Source organism: Homo sapiens, chromosome 11, assembly GCF_000001405.40.
Source record: "Homo sapiens chromosome 11, GRCh38.p14 Primary Assembly".
NCBI classification, from domain to species: domain Eukaryota; kingdom Metazoa; phylum Chordata; class Mammalia; order Primates; family Hominidae; genus Homo; species Homo sapiens.
In genome coordinates, this window is record NC_000011.10 from 124,189,451 (window position 1) to 124,208,146 (window position 18,696).

Genomic DNA, 18,696 nt, shown 5'->3' on the forward strand with positions numbered 1-18,696 from the left:
ATTCAAGAATTTCTTCTCTGAACCCTCAGTTTGGGAGGCCCTGGGAGACCTGAGGCATGACAGTCTATGATGGGAACAATACAGCATCCAGCATTCCCTAAAGAGGATCCAGACCAGGGATCTCGCTAACATTCTCACTATGGAGAGGAGCTCAACATGCACACAGCGAGTCAACCTGAACGTTTCCATGAAGGAGGCTGCTCCATCAGGGCAGTTAGAGCACTGATTTCAAAATATATTTTCATGCCTGAAATTCTGCCATTTAAGAATGAATTTCCTCTCAAATCCCACATTCTGTTTTCAAAAGCAAATTTCCTGGGAAGTAATAGAAATGAGATACTATCTAGCTCGAGAAAGATATTTATGATTGGCAGGAGAAGTAAGAAGGCAGACGAGCAAGTGTATATGTATATCTATATCTGTCTGTCTGTCTGTCTATCTATCTATCTATCTAAACGTTTTTCTCTACGTCGATTTGGCCAAAGATCGGCACAGATATCCTCAAATCTCTTTCCCATAGACATGCTAGAGAAGTAATTCAGTCGGTATTTATTAAATTCCTGTTTTGCAGCAGATACTATTGTTATGCTAAATTGATAAAGATGGGTAAGATCCCTGCCCTGAAGGAGTCCACCATCTGTTTTTAGAATCATACAGAATAGATGGTCCATAATAAACTGTGATAATAACAGCAGGACACACTTTCTTAGGGCTTACCGCGTGCTAGGTATTACTCTCAAGCGCTTTACTTTACCTACATTAACTCATGCGGTCCTCACCATAATCCTATTATCTCATTTTATACAGGAGAAAACTGAGACACACAGAAGTTAAGAAATGTTTCCAGCTAGTAAGTCACAAAGCTAGGATGTCTTGCAGGCTGTCTCTCACAGAGCAGGAACACCGTCATCTTGGACAAACACCACCATTTTAAGTTCCAGCTCCCTTTCTAACCTCATGTATTTCAAGGAAATCACTTCTCTTCTAACAACAAGCAGCCAGAAAGAGCAGACAGTAAAACACAGATAAGACAGCTTGGGCACAGAGGGAGGGGGGAAAGTCTCTTGGGTAACCACCAAATTTACACTCATACAATGGGCCCCAGTAAAACAGTGGGCCCTAATAAGCACATTCCTTTCTCTTTAGGTGCACTAAGATAGGGAAGCTAAAAGCAGACTCTGGGGGGTAAGCCTGCAGCTGCAGGAAGATGTACAGGAACAGACACAAAAACTCTCCCTCCCAGATAAGCAAGACAAAGAGACATAGAAACATTCTGAGCCTGTGATAAGCTCTCTGCCCTAAACCCTTAAATACTCTTAGTCTGTAAGAGAGAGTGCTCCTGACCTAACTTGGCCAGAAACCCCTCTCAAGTTTATTCTCCATCATAAATCTGTCTTTGACTATTGAGCTGCTTTTAGTGTTTCCTTCTTCCTTCTCCAATTCTCACAGTCTCCAGTGATCTTTCTTTTAATAATTTCATTACATCAGCATCATAAATTCTGAGAAGCAATGAGAGCATGGAGAAGTGACCAATTATTTCTGCCTAGGCTGTTTGGGAAGGCTTTGCAGGAAAGGTGGGATGTGAGCCAGGCTATGAGGGATGCATGGAGGGGAGTGTGAATAAACATCAGACAGAGGGTTAGAAAGTGCGGAATCAGAAAGCAGGGGACATCTTGTGGAAGCATGGGTATGTACCAAGCACACTATTTCCAGGGAGAACGATATTGTTATAATAAAAGATGATTGGAGGCGGAAGTGAAAGACAGGAGAAAGCAGGAAGAGAGAAGGAGATGGTAGAATGGAGCCTAATCATGAACGAGTTTCTTATCATGAAGTGCCCTTTGTAGAAAAGGCCATATATTCAGATTTGCCAGGATAGTTTATACATGATTTTTAATAGTGTTAACACTCTAAAAAGTGTTCTGATGTGTAAAATAAATTATGTGGACACTTTACTTCTCTATGAATCAAAGGAGAACTTGGCAATGAAGATTCAATAAAAGTGTGGAGGCTGGTTATGACTTAGCTCAGCCAAGAGCATTTGCAAGTCCAGCCAGTGCCAAGAATAGAGTGGGCAGAGCACTCCACCAACAGAATGGAGAGGAATCTGCTCTCTTCTACCCCTGTGGGAAGTACCTAACACTTAACACCCACTGACCTCTGCACCATCAGATGTAGGTTGTACCAACTCAGCCATTTACCACCAAGGACTCTTTCTCCTGCATTATTGGAGCGCATGCAGCAACCTCATGGCAGGACTAAGACTGGATCAGAACTCTAGTTTCTCTGCCCTACATTATGTGAATTATACCACTTAAACTTTTTGCAAATGTGAGTGAATCATGTTATATTTTGTTACATACTACTTGTTATATGTTTAAGATCATACATAACATGGGCTCTTAATTTTCCAAACTTAAATGAATCATGCTAAGCCCCTGTGCATGCTAACCTACTTATGTATTAGTGATAGTAGACACTGAAGCATAAGCCACAGGAAAATCGAGCATCTCTTTTAAAACACATTCCCAACTCATGATAATCCCCACAGAGGATCAGATAAAGAGATGCTCAGTTTTATCAAGTGGAAAGTCTCATAGTCAGCAAGATATGGTTGACACTTATGCTCATAAGACACATGACCAGGAGGGTACTGAAAATCTCAAAGTCATCTGCTCACAGATCCAATGATCATTATCACAGAGCTTCTTTAAACTACCAAACCTCTCCCATCAGTGGTCTGAATCCTCAGATCTACTGGTTTATTTCCCAGTCCACTCTGTCAAAATTGTTCTTTCTAGCATCCTCCAAATAAATAAACACGAAGGCTCTTTCCTCCTAGATTCCATGACACCACCCAGTGATGGCTGCTCTCCACCTCTTTCATCAGATCTGTTCTGTAGCTTTGCTTACTTCTGTGGGAAGTTTGCTGCATACTTCAGGACTTGATCCTTCCCCCAAAACTTCATCTAATGAAATTATTCACTTCATGATTCTTAGTTGTGACCCATACACTGTTCATTTCTCCTTGAGCTCATGGGCAGGGTCTCCGGATAAATCTTAGATATTATGAAGAAAAATACCTGGATCTAAGTCTGCTTTGTTATGGGGAAAATTATGAGAGTAATTCTACTTATCTCATGGAACCGTTGTGAAAATTACATAAGAAAGTATATCATCAATCAACAAGTGAATAAAGAAAAGGTTATATATATATATATACACACACATATACACACACACACACACACACCGTGAAATGGTGTATATACAGTATACACTATTGTATATATACAATGGAATATACTACTATATTATATATTATATATATTTTATATATTATAATTATTATATATAATATATATAATATATATAACATATATATATCATGAAATACTACTCAGCCCCATAAAAATAAATGAAATAATGGCATTCGCAGTAACCTGGATGGAATTGGAGACTATTATTCTAAGTGAAGTGACTCAAGAATGGAAAATCAAACATCACATGTTCTCATTCATATGTGGGAGCTAAGCTATCAGGATGCAAAGGCATAAGAACAATGAATTGGACTTTGGGGACTCAGGGTAGGGGGTGGTGAGGGATAAAAGACTACACACTGGATACAGTGTACACTGCTCGGGTGATGGGTGCACCCGTCATCACCCATCAGCACTCTCAGAAATCACCACTAAAGAACTTACTCATGTAACCAAACACCACCTGTTCTCCAAAAACCTATTGAAATAAAAAAGCTAAAAATTTTAAAAAGAAAGCAAATAAATGCAAGATTGTGAGATGTCTTATCATTTTAAAAAATAATGAAGTAAAAGGCAATACAACTATTCAAACAATTATGTAAATAAATTCTGTTTTGCATTTTAAAGAGAGAGAGAGAAAGAGGGAAATAGAGTTTCTCAAAGGAGGAAGTCTTTATACGTAACAGATTCACTGAGGTTAAGCTCTCTTTTGAGTATAGCTCAAGAGTGGAAGGGCCTGACTAGTTAGGTTTTGTTTTGGTCCCGCCACCTTAAATAATTAATCCCGGGTGAGAGTAGTCAACCCTGTTCCTCAATAGGGCATTTCAATACCTTTTTCTTTTAAATTTTAAACCACAGTCATCTAGTTACAAATATTTCTGAAAAAAACTAACCTAATTGCTTATATTTCTCAATCATGATTTCATTTCTGTAATTTCACTTTGTTTTTTTAACTGCTGCCAGTTTTGCCATATAAAACATTGACAAAATCATTTTGCTCTCTTGCTAAAAATTTCTTTGGTATGTTTCCATTTCCTATTGATGTCAAGGCTGACTATATTGAGTTTAACATTTGAAGCTTTTTAACATCTGGTTCTGATCTCTGTCACCAATTTTATTCCTATTTCTCTTTTATTTTTGACTTCTCCACAAGCCAACTCAAACTCCTTTGTAATTTTCCAAACCAACGCTGACAACATGGTCTGGATTCTCCAGTTCAGTCCTAAATTAAGCTATTCTGTTGCCGTGTTAGGCCATGTTTCTCACATTGTGCTCTATCGTGGATCCTGAATTTTGGTGTATTTCTCACATATTCCCTGCTTTTGATGACTCTGAGTCCTAGTCTTCATGTGGCCTCTGTTTGGGATGTCAGTTTCGTTGTTCTCCATAGGACCAAATTATGCTCATTTTTCAGGACACCATCCAAACATTGTTTTCTTGCCAAAGCTTTCCTTAATGCTCCAAGCTAAAAGAAATGTTTCTCCTTTGAAATCTCATTTTCTTTGGAAGTACATATACTCTTGACAAATACCACCCATCTGAGAAAAAACAGTATGAGTGAAGTGAAATAGGATGACCATAGTTTTTAACTAAACAGAATACAAAGATCTAGAAATTTATATGAAATAGTAAGACCAGAGTCAACCTTACAGTAGTAGATCTGATGTTCAGTTTCAGCAAGTTTGTAATGAGAGTTTGAAGTACACTCACAAACTCTGATAAGTAGTTACATTTATGATGACATGAAAACTCAAGACATTTATTGCTAACTGATCCATAGTGGTTGTGACAATTGGGGAACAAAGGTCACCCCTAAGACAATATATACTCAATATGTCTCAACTGTATGCTTCATTTTAGAGAACAGCAATCTTTGATAATTTTTCATATAGTTCTAGTTATAGCTGTGCATTTAGATAAAGGGAAGTAGTAAACATACAGGGTATGTTAGATTTTAGAATTGTATATTGTAAATTCGTAATGAATCTGAGAATATGAATTTGCCACTCCTGGTCATAAGAATGTTTTCTTGTTTTGATTCTTAGCAACCTAGGAGCTGAAAAACTTGGAATTTCCCTTTGACGGATATGCCAGTAATAGGATTTAATCCCCTCCCTCTTTAGAGTCTCATGTTCCTGTAATATGAGAAAAGGGGTGACTGCATTGGGCTCCGTGCCTCTGGGCAAGCTCTCTATCACAACATGGGAATGTTAAGCGCATAACCTACCAAACTGAAAGCAAGTCACTGGGCACAGTCTCCATTGCAAGTCCCGGAGGGTGGAAGGGAGGTCTGATCAAGAATGAGAAACTTGCTTTTGTCCTCTCCTTGCCTTTTTGGCTGTGATCCAAAAGAAGGACATGCAGGCTCTCCTAGAATCTTCAAATCATCCCTAGTTCTTCTGATCTTTTCCCCGGTCTCTGTCCCTGCACTAATATGACAGCCATGGTCCCTATCTCCTATTTAGTCTATATTAGCTCTACAGATAGGATTCTGGCAGCATGTTAGTTATGTGATGCAGTCTAAGAAGTCAGTAGCTGGACAACAAATTGTGCCAGCCTGGAGGCCACATGATAATCCGTATTCTGCAAACTGTGCTCTATCGCCCCCTGATGGACATAGGATCATCTCCAACCTTAGCACAGAACGACCAGTTCTCCTTGGCTTTAGGGGTAATCATGATGTGTGCTTTTGGAAGGGCAGGGACAGAAGAGGAAATTTGTTTTACAAGTTCATTGGTAATTTGGAAGAAATGACAACCTCTGCATAGATATTTACACGCAGAGTAGATCTGATCATGTTAATTCCCATGCATTAAAATATTTTATGTCTCCTTACTAACTTTAGAGTAAAATCTACTCTAATATGATATACAATGATTTTTATAATCTGTCTGTATCTCAGTGCCCAGTCTCATGGCCTTGTCCATTTTTCCCATCAGGCCTTACACTCTAAACTCACCAAATTATTTGTCATTTTTCCAAAACTAACTATATCAAACTTTGGTATATTTGGATAGGCTGTTTCCACTCTCTGGGATGCAATTCATTGTTTTCAAAATCTGTCAAAATTCTCCTGCAAAAAGTCTGACTTGATACTGGTGAGAAGACATAGGCTATGCTTCCTCTGTATTCTAATTTTAGATGATAAATACCGTAATATTTCACCTTACATTACATTGCACTTTCCAGGCTGTGTTTCTAATTTCTACGTATGTTATACTTCACATATGCTGAAGGGACTCAATTAAAAGAAGATAAACTATACATACATTATCAAATAATGGAGAAGATATAATTTATATTTCAAAATATAAAATATATTCCAAAATATAAAATTTTTCGAACAATAGTATACAAAATTACATGTAGGTTTAAAATTGAATCGAACATGTAGAAACATATCAACATGATCATTTCAAACATGTAATGAAATAAGTTACAATTAATGCAAAGAAAATTGAACTAATAAATATAGATCCTTAATGTGACTATTAATTTTGAAAAATATAGTATACAATGTGACATGATGATACCATTTTATATCTACTGAATAAGCAAACTAATATTAAATAGTAAATAATCAAACTATATATTAACAAAGCTACAGAAGCCCCACAACATTTTTACACTACTGGTAGCATTTATTGATTTATGTGTTCATTCCAGGAGTATTTATTATCTATTCTATGTTTTGTATAGTGACAGGAGTTGAATTTACAAGTCCAACAAGGCATTTACCCTACCCCTGAAGGTGATGATTGCAACAATATATGAACACGCAGGATTTTATGACAGCACTTAAGAGGAATACCTGTCTCAAAATGGGGAGAGATATGAGAAAAAAACATGCAATAAGGGAATAAATATTAAATTTTATAACAGATAATAAAAGTCAGCTCTGCAAAAAAAAAAAAGTCATGGAGGAAGAAAAAGAGCAGGATTTGTGAAAGTACAAAGGAATAAAGCAGCATGGTTCATTCAGAAGTTTAAAACACATTGGTAACATCCTTCAGAAAAGGAACTTTTAAATACAAATAAGATAAATTGATATGTTTATATACTTTGGCCCTAGGAGTCTAATATTGAGAAATTATTCTAAAGGAAAAATATATGTAATGCCAATTCATTTCAAATGGCAAGAACAATGGCATTTAAATATTCAGATATGGATAACATTAGGCAAAATATAATGTGTTGACTTAATAAAACATATGGTCATTATTATTGGCTATCAAAATTATTTTAGCAGCATGGAAAAAGGATTATAGAATAATTTAAGTTAAAAGAACAAAATAGTACATTTCTCTTACTAGGTCTTAAAGATAGTCTCTTGTATTCTTTTCTAGAAGCTTTATAGCTTAATTTTCTCTGTATCTATGACCCATCTCAAATTAATTTTTGTTTGTGGTCTGGAGTAAAGATTGATGTTCATTTTGTCCCCATGTGAATATTCAGTTGTTTCAGCATAATTTGTTTAAGAGACATCTTTTCCTACTGAGCTGCTATGAGGTTTCAGTCGAAGAATGATGGGTGGGGCTACTTTGGACTTTCTCTTCTATTTCTTTGATCTGTCTATTCTTATGTCAATTTCACATTGCATTGATTATGGCAACTTTACAGATAATCTTTTTTTCCTTTGTCGGTTTAAAAACATTTTATTTTATAGGCATACAATTTTAATTGCCTATATTTCAGGTGTATAACATCATGTTTTGTTATCCTTGTACGTAAACACAGTGAAATGATGACTACAGTGAAGCAAATCAACATTTCTTCACATTTACTTTTGTTTGTGTAAAAGGACCTGAAATCTACCATCTTGGCAAATTTACAGGATAAAATATGTGATATGCACATTAGTCTTATTTATCCTACATAACTGCAACTTTGTACCCTTTGACCTACATCTCCTCATCTTCCCCCAACCTGGTCCTGCCCCTAGTAACAACCTTTCTACTCTGTTTCTGTGTATTCAGTTTTTTAGATTCTACATATGTGAGATCATGAAATGTTTTTATTTCTGTACCTGTTTTATTTCTGTTTTTTCACCAGCTTTATTGCGGTATGATTGACAAATAAAAATTGCATATATTTAGGTTATACAATGTGATGTTTTTATATACACATACATTGTGAAATGATTACCAAACTCAAGATAATTAACATATTCATCACCTCACATAGTTAGATTTTTTTGTATATAGTGAGAACACTTGAAATCTGCTTTCTTGGCAAATTTAAGATATAAAATGCGTTATTATTAGCTATAGTCATGATGCTGTACTTTAGATCTCTATTACTTGTTTGTCTTATAACTGAAGGTTTGTACCCTTTGGCCAATATCTTCCCCTTTCCCTGACCCATGTCCCTGGCAACCACCATTCTACTCTGTTACCATGAGTTCAACTTTTATTTTTTTAGATTCCACATATCAGGGAGATTATGCAGTATTTGTCTTTCTGTTTGGCTGATTTCACTTAGCATAGTGTACTCCAGGTTCACCCATGTTGCTGTAAATGGAGGGAACTCCATCTGTCAATGAACACTTAGGTTGTTTCTGTATCTTGGCTACTGTGAATAATTCTGCAATGAACCTGGGAATGCAGATACTTCTACGAGCTATAGTAATCTGCCCTGATCCTCGGGGAATACATTCCAAGACCCTCAGTGGGTACCTAAAACAGATACAGACAGGAGGCAGGGAATACTGGGTTGAAAGGGTGGAGTCTCTGGCGAGGGTTCCACCCTTAAGCCTGGACTCATGGCCCTAAATGAGAACTTCACATCCCAATTTTCCCGCCGGAATGTTGCTTTTTCCAAAACCACCCTGTCCTGCTCTGCCCCACACCCTGTACCCATAAAAATCCCAAGCTCCTCTAGCAGAGAAGCACAGCATAGTGGCAGAGAAGGAGAGAAGAGAAGAAGCAGCTGGACTTTGGAGAAAAGCAGCTTGACTTTGGAGGGAAGGCTTGATGGTGGGACTTCAGAGAAGAGATTGACTGTCCCCAGGCGGGACTCCAGGGGAAGATTATCTTCCCACTCCATCCCCCTTCCAGCTCCCCTTCCCTCTGAGAGCCACCTTCACTACTCTATAAAATTTTCCACATACACCACCCTTCAATTCATTCATGTGACCTGATTCTTCCTGGATGCTGGACAAGAACTCAGGTACCAAGAGGGCAGGGTGTAAAAGGCTGTCACCCTGACCCTCCACTGAGCTGGTTAGCACTTAGCCATCTGTGAATGACAAATACTAAAAGCACTGATTGTAACACATGCCCTCTAGGGATCTGGGGTTTGTTGACACCCCCTCCCAGACAGCAGAGCTAAAAGAGCATTGTAACACGCTTGGACGCTGCCACAGGGCCCACACACAGCCTGCTTCTGCCAGAGAGGAGTGACCAGCCTATTCCGGCATTCATTCACTTCAGTTCCTGCACCCATTGGCTTGTGTGCTCCCTCCGGTAAGGGATTGATGGTGGCAGTTGAGCAAACGAGTCACCGCTTCATGAGTCGCATGAAGGGGTCAAGGGAAATACCCAATCTCAAAACCATGAATAGTACCAAACCCTATATATTTTATGTTTTTTTCCTCTACACACATATCTATGATAAAAGTTAATTTCAAAATTAGGAATAGCAAGAAATTAACAGCTAATAATAAAATAGGACAATTATACACTATAATAAAAGTTACGTGAAGGTGGTCTCTCTTTTTCTCAAAACAAAAATGTCTGTCCTCACCCAGGTCCATGGGCACAGGCCCAGGAGTAGAGCCCTAGCCAGGGACCACCCCCTTCCCCTTCCCATCCCACGTCCCTTCCCCGTTCCATATCATTTAAAGGGATCATGCCCTTTCCTTCCCAGCACTTTCCTTCCATATAAGTACGAATAAGGACTCTGAAAAGTATTAGATTTGTTCATTGAAATATACACAATATGAACAGGGGAGAATCCTTGGTATAAAATTAAATTATTTTTTATTTCATTTTCACCTCTCTACTTAGAGGAATTATATAATCTTCAGTCAAATAATTTCTATTAAGCAACTAAAATGAGATTTGTGTTGAAAAGATACAGGAATTTGTAAGTCATGGTCCATGTCCTTATGGAGGTCAATTACAAGACTACACTAAAACCTTTTAGAAAAGAGTAAACAATGCAACACAGTGTGCAAGTGAGTCAGAATTTGAATGACGTCATGCAAGCATCCATTATGTGCTTTAGAAATCAGGGATGGCTATGTGGAGGAGGTTACTATCAATGGCAAATAGAAATGGTACTTCTAAATAGGTGGAGTAGAATGATTATAAGCAGGATATGGAATGGAGCAGTGTGTTTGAGGGACATTGAGACTGTTCTGAGGAGAATATTTTTCCTGAATAAGAGTAAGAGATGAAGTTGGTGACATTAGGTAGGTAAGACTTTGATTTGGATGAGATTACATTATATTTTGAAAGCCATGTGGAATAAGTTAGGTATGAAACTTACTCTTTTTCTGTTTTTAGCTTTATTGAGGTATAATTGATATACAAAAACTGCACGTTATCCATACAATTTGAATAAGTTAGGACATGTGTACACATATGATTCCATCACCATAATCAAGGTAATAAACGTAACAATCACCTCCAAAAGTTTCCTTTGTCTTTGTTTTGGGGCGCGTGCAAGCACACACGCACGTGTGTGCATGTAAAAAACATGTAACCACAGATCTATCAGAGATCTTGTTTTCCTGCCAAAATGTTGCATTTCCCAAGATCACCCTGGCCTGCCAACCCCCCATACTGTGCCTATAAAAATCCCCAAGACCTGGCCTGGGCGCAGTGGCTCATGCCTTAATCCCAGCTCTTCGGGAGGCCAAGGCTGGTGGATTAGGAGGTCAGGAGATCGAGACCATTCTGGCCAACATGGTGAAACCCCATCTCTACTAAAATACAAAAAATTAGCCGGGCGAGGTGGCGGGCGCCTGTAGTCCCAGCTACTGGGGAGGCTGAGGCAGGGGAATCGCTTAAACTGGGGAGGTGGAGACTGCAGTGAATAGAGATTCTGCCACTGCACTCCAGCCTGGCGACAGAGTGAAACTCCGTCTAGAAAAAAAAAAAAAATCACTAAGACCGTACCAGGCAGACACACAGGCGGCTGGACGTCGAGAGGCGCACACCGACAGGCACCAGCATGCCAGCAGGCCACCGACCGGCAGAAGCAGAACGACACAGTTTGGCGGGGGCAGTTGGAGGAAAGCCCAGGCCACTGAGCGGCCTGACTCCAGGGGAAGACCTTCCCACTCCATCCCCTTCTGGCTCCCCCATCTGCTGAGAGCTACTTCCACTCAATAAAACCTTGCACTCATTCTCCAAGCCCAGGTGTGATCAGATTCTTCGAGTACATCAAGGCAAGAACCTGGGATACAGAAATCCCTCTGCCCTTAAGACAAGGTAGAGGGTCTAATTGAGCTGGTTAACACAAGCCGCCTATAGACGGCAAAACGAAAAGAACGCCCTGTAACGCGCCCACTGGGGCTTCAGGAGCTGTAAACATTCACCCCTAGACACTGCCGTGGGTTGGAGCCCCACAGCCTGCCTGTCTGTATGCTCCCCTAGAGGTTTGAGCAGCGGGGCACTGAAGAAGCAAGCCACATCCCATCGCACGCCCTTCGAGGGGGACAAGGGAACTTTTCTCGTTTCTCTACCGTCACGTTGATTTTTTTCTAAATTTTTTTACATATATAGGAAACAAATGTCTTGGATTACAATTAGTAAGGTGATTCTAATAAAATAGTGGCCACAGAAAAAGCATGAGAGTCATTCTGTAAGTAAAAAACTTCTATTAGCCTCATCCCCCAAGATGAGGTTATTGATTTGTTAGCTCCCTATCATGCTTGAGGGCCTAGAAAGTAGTAGTGACTTTTAGACACTGTTCAGATGCAAAAAATTGAAATCAAGAGATGGAAGCCATGAAACTGTAGTGCAATTAAAAGAAAAATTAGAGTCTGAAACATGAGGAGATCTAAAAGATGTGAAGGCAAACAAAATGCACAAAATTTTCTAGGGTTTTTTTTTGTTGTTGTTGGGGGCGGAGAAAGAAGTTTTTGTATTAAATTAACTTCTCATTTTAGAATAATTTTAAATGTATAGAAAAGTTGCAAAAATATTATAGAGATTTCCCATATACCTTGCACCCAATTTTTCCTTGTACCCAGTTTAAATGTTTCAAGTTAATATTACAATGGAATATTTGTCACAACCAATGAACCAATGTTGAAACCTTATTATTAGCTAAAGTTCATATTTTATTTTTATTGTCTTAGTTTTAACCTCTTTTGTTCTTGGTTTTCCTGGCTAGAGATTTATCAATTTTATTCACCTTTAAAAATAAGTAATTTTGATTTTGTTGGGTTTTATTGTTTTCCTATTTTCAGTTTTTAAAATTCTGCTCTAAATTGTTATTATTTTTCTATGCTTTTAAAAAATATTTACTTGTCTCTTGCTTCTGTGGATTCTAAGGTATAAGCATAGTTTATTAATTTTAGATCTTTCTTATCTAATTTATTTTTTAATCTTCTAAATTTCCCTTTAAGCACTACTACATTCCACAAATTTTTGTAAGTTGTATTTTAGTTTTCATTTAGTTTAAAATATGTTTTTGTTTGTCTTAAAACTTCTTTAACCTATAAATTATGTAGATGCATGTTGTTTATTTTCCAAGAATTTGGGAAATTTTCATTTTCTTTTATTGATTTCTAGTTGTTGTGGTCTGCTAAGTGAAATAAACCCATCACAGCAGGACAAATGCTGCATATCTCCATTTATATGAGGTATCTATAATAGTCAAACTCATAGAAGCAGAGAATCCAATAACGGTTTCCAGGAGCTAAGAGGAGGGAGAAACAGGGAGTTGTTCACTGAGTATAAATTTTCAGTTATGCTAGATGAATATGTTCTAAAGATCTGCCATACAACATAGTGTGTATAGTTAACACAATGGACTTCAAAATTTGTTAACAGGGTACATCTCATCTTAAGTATTCTTACTACAAAAACAAACAACATAAATGGACACAAGAAAACTTGGGGAAGTAATGAATATGTCAGTTACCTCGATTGTGGTGATGGCATCAAGGATGTTTACATATGTCCAAACTCATCGAATTATACACATTTAAATATGTGGTTATGTATCAATTCTACTTCAGTAAAATGGTTTAAAAACAAAAATATCCTTTCTTCCCCTTAAACTGTTTTGGTATTTTGCTTCATCTCTAAGATGGCTCAGATACAGATAGGCTAAGGCTACTGATGCAGACCAGGTTGTTTGGAAGTTCTCCACAAGTAATGATCATGGACATTCAAACACAGAGGTGTTGTTAACAGGGCAGAACAGGAAGCAGTAGGCATTAAGAGCACGTATCAGAGTCAGACTTCAGTGGAAACTGTTCACATGCAATCAATCAGAGCCCCACAGCTGCTGTCCTGCTGTCAAAGTTACAAAGATTGGACACGAGGTCATGGAGCTTCTATGATGGTGTCTAGTAGTTGGTTGAACAGACTTGTGAGAGTCAAGGAACACAGAAAAAAATAGTCAACTGGCCAACGTAAAGAGTCAGAAATATGGAAGGATATGGAAACTGAGCTCTCTTAATACAGGTAAAATTGGGAGATATATTAAAATAAATAACTGGGATTTTATAAAAGATAACTGGGAAACGATCATTTCTGGGTTTGCAAAATCAGCAATAGTTTGGGTTGTTCAGGAGTTGACAAATTTGTACTCTAGATTTCCATAAACTTTTCTAATGAAGTATAGAATTGACTCAGAGTTGGGGATGATTGGCCTTTGCAGGAGATGGCAAACTGGGGAGTCAGAAGAAAGGAGGTGTCAGGTAGCAAATCACTGGCTGCCTCACTTAAACCTGCTGGGTATTTTCCGACAATCTCCAACTATACTGTCATTTCAGTCCTCCTTAACTATGTCTACTTTTTAAATTTATTTTTTTTCTCTGATAAGACACACAAGAAACATTTTAAACATCTTAACATTTTAAAGTATATGTCTGCTCAAGGCCCTCCATATAGTACCTGGGTATCACTGCTGGTTACTCAGGGCCCAAGGGCTCTTCAGTTAGCAGGTGATGAATGCTGCCAGGACTGGGTCCTTTCCTTTAATGCAATGGGTTTCCTTCTGGCCCAGTGTGTGTCTAGAAATGTTGTCTGGGAGCTATGGCCTAGAACAGAGGCTTCCCCTCTCTGACGGGTGCCCTCTCTTGCTATGGCTGAGGTGACATCCAAGATGCAAGACAGAGTCCTCCCCACTCTTCCATTTCCTCTCCTCAGGTGGAAGGAAGGGGTCTCTTTTGGAGCCATTAGCTGTGCAACCTGAGGTTAGGGGAGGGGTGATGCCAGCACTCTCTTGGCTGCCCTGGCTGGTGTCTCAGTATGTCATGCGTCCCCCTGTTCCACTGTCTCTGGGCCTAGTTTAGCACTGGGTGTTGCCTAAGAGTTGTAGTTCTTATAGCCTTCAAGTGTGCCTGGAGACACAGAGCGCTGTAGCCTGCAGTGGTAAGGTTTGCTGGAGCTCAAGTTCCGACTGCTGGGATCGGAGGTTCCCCTCTGGCTAGGGCTGGTTTAAATGCTCCCTCTGTGGGCAGACATCAGCTGAGTTTGGTCCGTCTTTCCTTTCTGCTCTAACAGGACAGCACTGAGTTCAATGCCTCACAATTGCTGTGTTCTCCTTCCCCCAGTGCCCAGAGATGCTCTCATGACCAGGCTGCAGCTGCTGGGGGTGGGGGAGGAGTGGTGTCCATGATTCAAGACTGTTTATTTCTCTCTTCAGTGCCTCTTTCAGAGATATGCAGTTAAAACCTGGTGCTATGCGTGTTCACCTGATTTTTGGTTCTTATGAAGGTGGTTTTTCTGTGCGGATAGTTGTTAAATTGCTGTCCTTGTTGGGGGGATGATGGGTGGAGCTTTCTATTCTGCCATCTTGCTCTGCCCTCCCCAATTATCACTATTCTATACATACGTTTGAAACTGTGATAACCAAAAATTACTTAAAAATTACAAGTAAGACCTTACTCCAGGAGGGCTTCACCATTATGAGTGAACTCTACTGCTGTAGACAAAAAGTGCTGACAAGAAAGTGGCAGAAAACCATTTCCTATTCCATTAAAAAATTTCACCATGTTATCACATTCTTACATGACTCTAATTTAAGTAATAACCAAGTAGTAAGCATGTGAAAACTGCCAGTAACAAAACTTGAGAGCATTTTACTATTAATCATTAGTATTACACTGAAAATATCTTGGTACTGTGAGGCAAAGTACTACAAAGAATATTACATTTTGACTTTATGTTTACCTGTTCTCAGACATGACCTGCAGTGTAAGTATAGAAACCACAGCAGACATTTTAGTGATAGGAAGGCACCATGCACTTAAAAGGAGTTTACATGCAACTGGCAATTTGGGAAAGACAAAGGCTCTTGGTTTTACTTATTTCATGCTGTGAACCCAGTTGAGTCCCTTTATTCATACACCACTTATTGAACAATCTATGCACGTGTAAGTAATAAGTACAAATATGGACTCTGGTCTAATTAAAATTACTCAGTAAGTGCCAAGTATAACCTTTATAATTTTTCTCCAGTGCTTATGTTCTTTGAATCTAGTATGTGTTTGTACATGGTTTGGTTTCAGAAAGACGGCATTTCCGGAAGATATAAATACTAGCTGATGTGTTATTTCTTTTATTTCTCACGGCTAAGTCAGATTTTTCATCTGCACTGCTAGAAAATCATCCTTGACATCTATATTGAAAAGCCACAGAGTCACCCTGAAAAACATTATAAACGTCTCTGAATTGTAGCTTTTGCATCTATAGAATGGGAATAATATTCTTGTACCCCATAGTGCTGTGGGGGAAAGAAATCGTTTAACATTCATGAAAGTGCCTGAACAGTTCTAAGCATGTGGTAAACATGAAATAAATAGAAATATCGCTTTTTTTTTTGAGACAAAGTCTCATTCTCTCACCAGGCTGGAGTGCAGTGGCGCAATCCCGGCTCACTGCAACCTCCGACTCCCTGGTTGAAGCAATTCTCCTGCCTTAGCCTCCCGAATAGCTGGGATTACAGGCATGTGCCACCATACCCAGATAATTTTTGTATTTTTACAAGAGACGGGATTTCACCATGTTGGCCAGGATGGTCTCGATCTCCTGACCTCGTTATCCGCCCTCCTCGGCCTCCCAAAGTGCTTACAGGCATGAGCCACAGTACCCGGCCACCTTTCATCCTTACCTAAATATTCATACCTTTGTTTGCTGATACCTCAAAAACCTCTTATGCTGTCTTTCAGATCTCTTTCTTTTGAACATAGAACTGTCATCACAGTGTCCTGTGCTCAGACCTTAATTAGCTTTCTTCCAAACTCTTGTCCTGAAGCTAGAGAGATATCCATATTTTTTCCTGCTTTGGTCTCTCTTGCCTCTGAGGAAGTGCTGTTAAAAACTCTGGTTTGAAGGTGAGTGTAAAATATACCAAGACAAAGTGCACACTGTTACTATAGTCCAAGCATCATGCAAGATTGCCATTCTGCAGTCCAGGTCCTCCTACAGGCCCAGAGGGCCATGGACTACATCAGGTCAAGCCAGAGTACTTAGCACATGCTGGGCACCCCGTCAGTGTTTCTGGAATGAATTAATTTCATATTTATTATTTCTTACTCTGAATTCTCCTCACTAGGAACCTCAAGTCCTTCTTGGACGTCAAGTACAAATAGTTTGTACTAACCATTCGGTTACTTTTTAGAGCCATAATTTCTATGTTTTTGAAGCAGTGCCAGTAGTCCAAGTACTCACTTAAGGGGAATCTAGTCTAGATCAGTGCTGATACATCATCGTTAGCACTTTATGTGAATTTTTTCTTTCACATTAATTGTTGTAAGTGAGGCTTCACTGATATGAAAAAAAGAGGTAAAAAAGTAGGAGGGAAGTCATGAGTAGCTAAAATAATAGAAGGTGAAACAGGTTTTATCTCCTTGATTATTTACTTATTACATGCCTAATTTTGGGCAAATATCCAACCGCTATCATCCTCAGTTACCTAATAGTAAAATAGGTACATTAGCATTTGCTCTGCTGAGTCAAGAGGATTACCAACAAGGCATGGGAAGTCCTTAGAACATTCAATCAAAGTTATCAGTACAGTTCTTTGGGTTTTCAGGGATTGAGCAGTACCAATATCCACTCTCATAGCATAGAACACAAATAGAGAAAGTTCTGAGATGTATCTGTGTATCCCATATTTCAGGGATCCTGGGGTCTTTTACTGCTAACATGAGGAACAGGCAGAGAACTGCAACTACCTAGTTGAAAAACTTGAATTTTGTTTCACATTTTATCGTGTTAGTGGGATAATGAATACCTAACTCAAATTTTCTTCTTCTCTTTCTACATAAAATTTCCAGAGAAAATGGTAAAAGGAAATCATTCCACGGTGACTGAATTTAATCTCGCTGGGCTAACAGACAAACCAGAGCTCCAGCTGCCTCTTTTCCTCCTCTTCCTGGGAATCTATGTGGTCACAGTGGTGGGCAACCTGAGCATGATCACTCTAATAGGGTTCAGTTCTCACCTGCACACCCCCATGTACCATTTCCTCAGCAGTCTGTCCTTCATTGATCTCTGCCAGTCTTCTGTCATTACCCCAAAAATGCTGGTGAATTTTGTGTCAGAGAGGAATATTATCTCCTACCCAGCATGCATGACTCAGCTCTACTTCTTCCTTGTTCTTGTCATATCTGAATGTCACATGTTGGCTGCAATGGCTTATGACCACTACATTGCCATATGTAACCCACTGCTTTACCATGTCGCCATGTCTTATCAGGTCTGCTCCTGGATGGTAGTTGAGGTGTATTTTATGGGCTTTATTGGTGCTACGTGCTCACACAGTCTGCATGCTAAGAGTGCTTTTCTGTAAGGCTGATGTAATCAACCATTACTTCTGTGATCTTTTCCCACTACTGGAGCTCTCCCGCTCCAGTATTTCTATCAATGAAATAGTAGTTTGTGCTTCAGTGCATTTAATATCCTTTTCCGCAGCCTCACCATCCTTAGCTCTTACATCTTCATCGTTGCCAGCATCCTCTGCATTCGCTCCACTGAGGGCAGGTCCAAAACCTTCAGCACTTGCAGCTCCCACATCTCGGCTGTTTCTGTTTTCTTTGGGTCTGCAGCATTCATGTACCTGCAGCCATCATCCGTCAGCTCCATGGACCAGGGGAGTGTCTTCTGTGTTTTATGCTACTGTTGTGCCCATGCTGAACCCCCAATCTACAGCCTGAGGAATAAAGATGTCAAAGTTGCCTTAATTAAGTTCCTTGAAAAAAGAAGTTTCCTGTGAAAGTTGCCTTAAATAAGCTCCTTGAAAAAAG

The 18,696-nt window shown here is 39.2% G+C and overlaps 1 pseudogene; it reads left to right on the top strand.

Annotated features, from left to right (window-relative positions):
• On the top strand, nucleotides 17,734–18,696 carry OR8F1P (olfactory receptor family 8 subfamily F member 1 pseudogene; annotated as a pseudogene).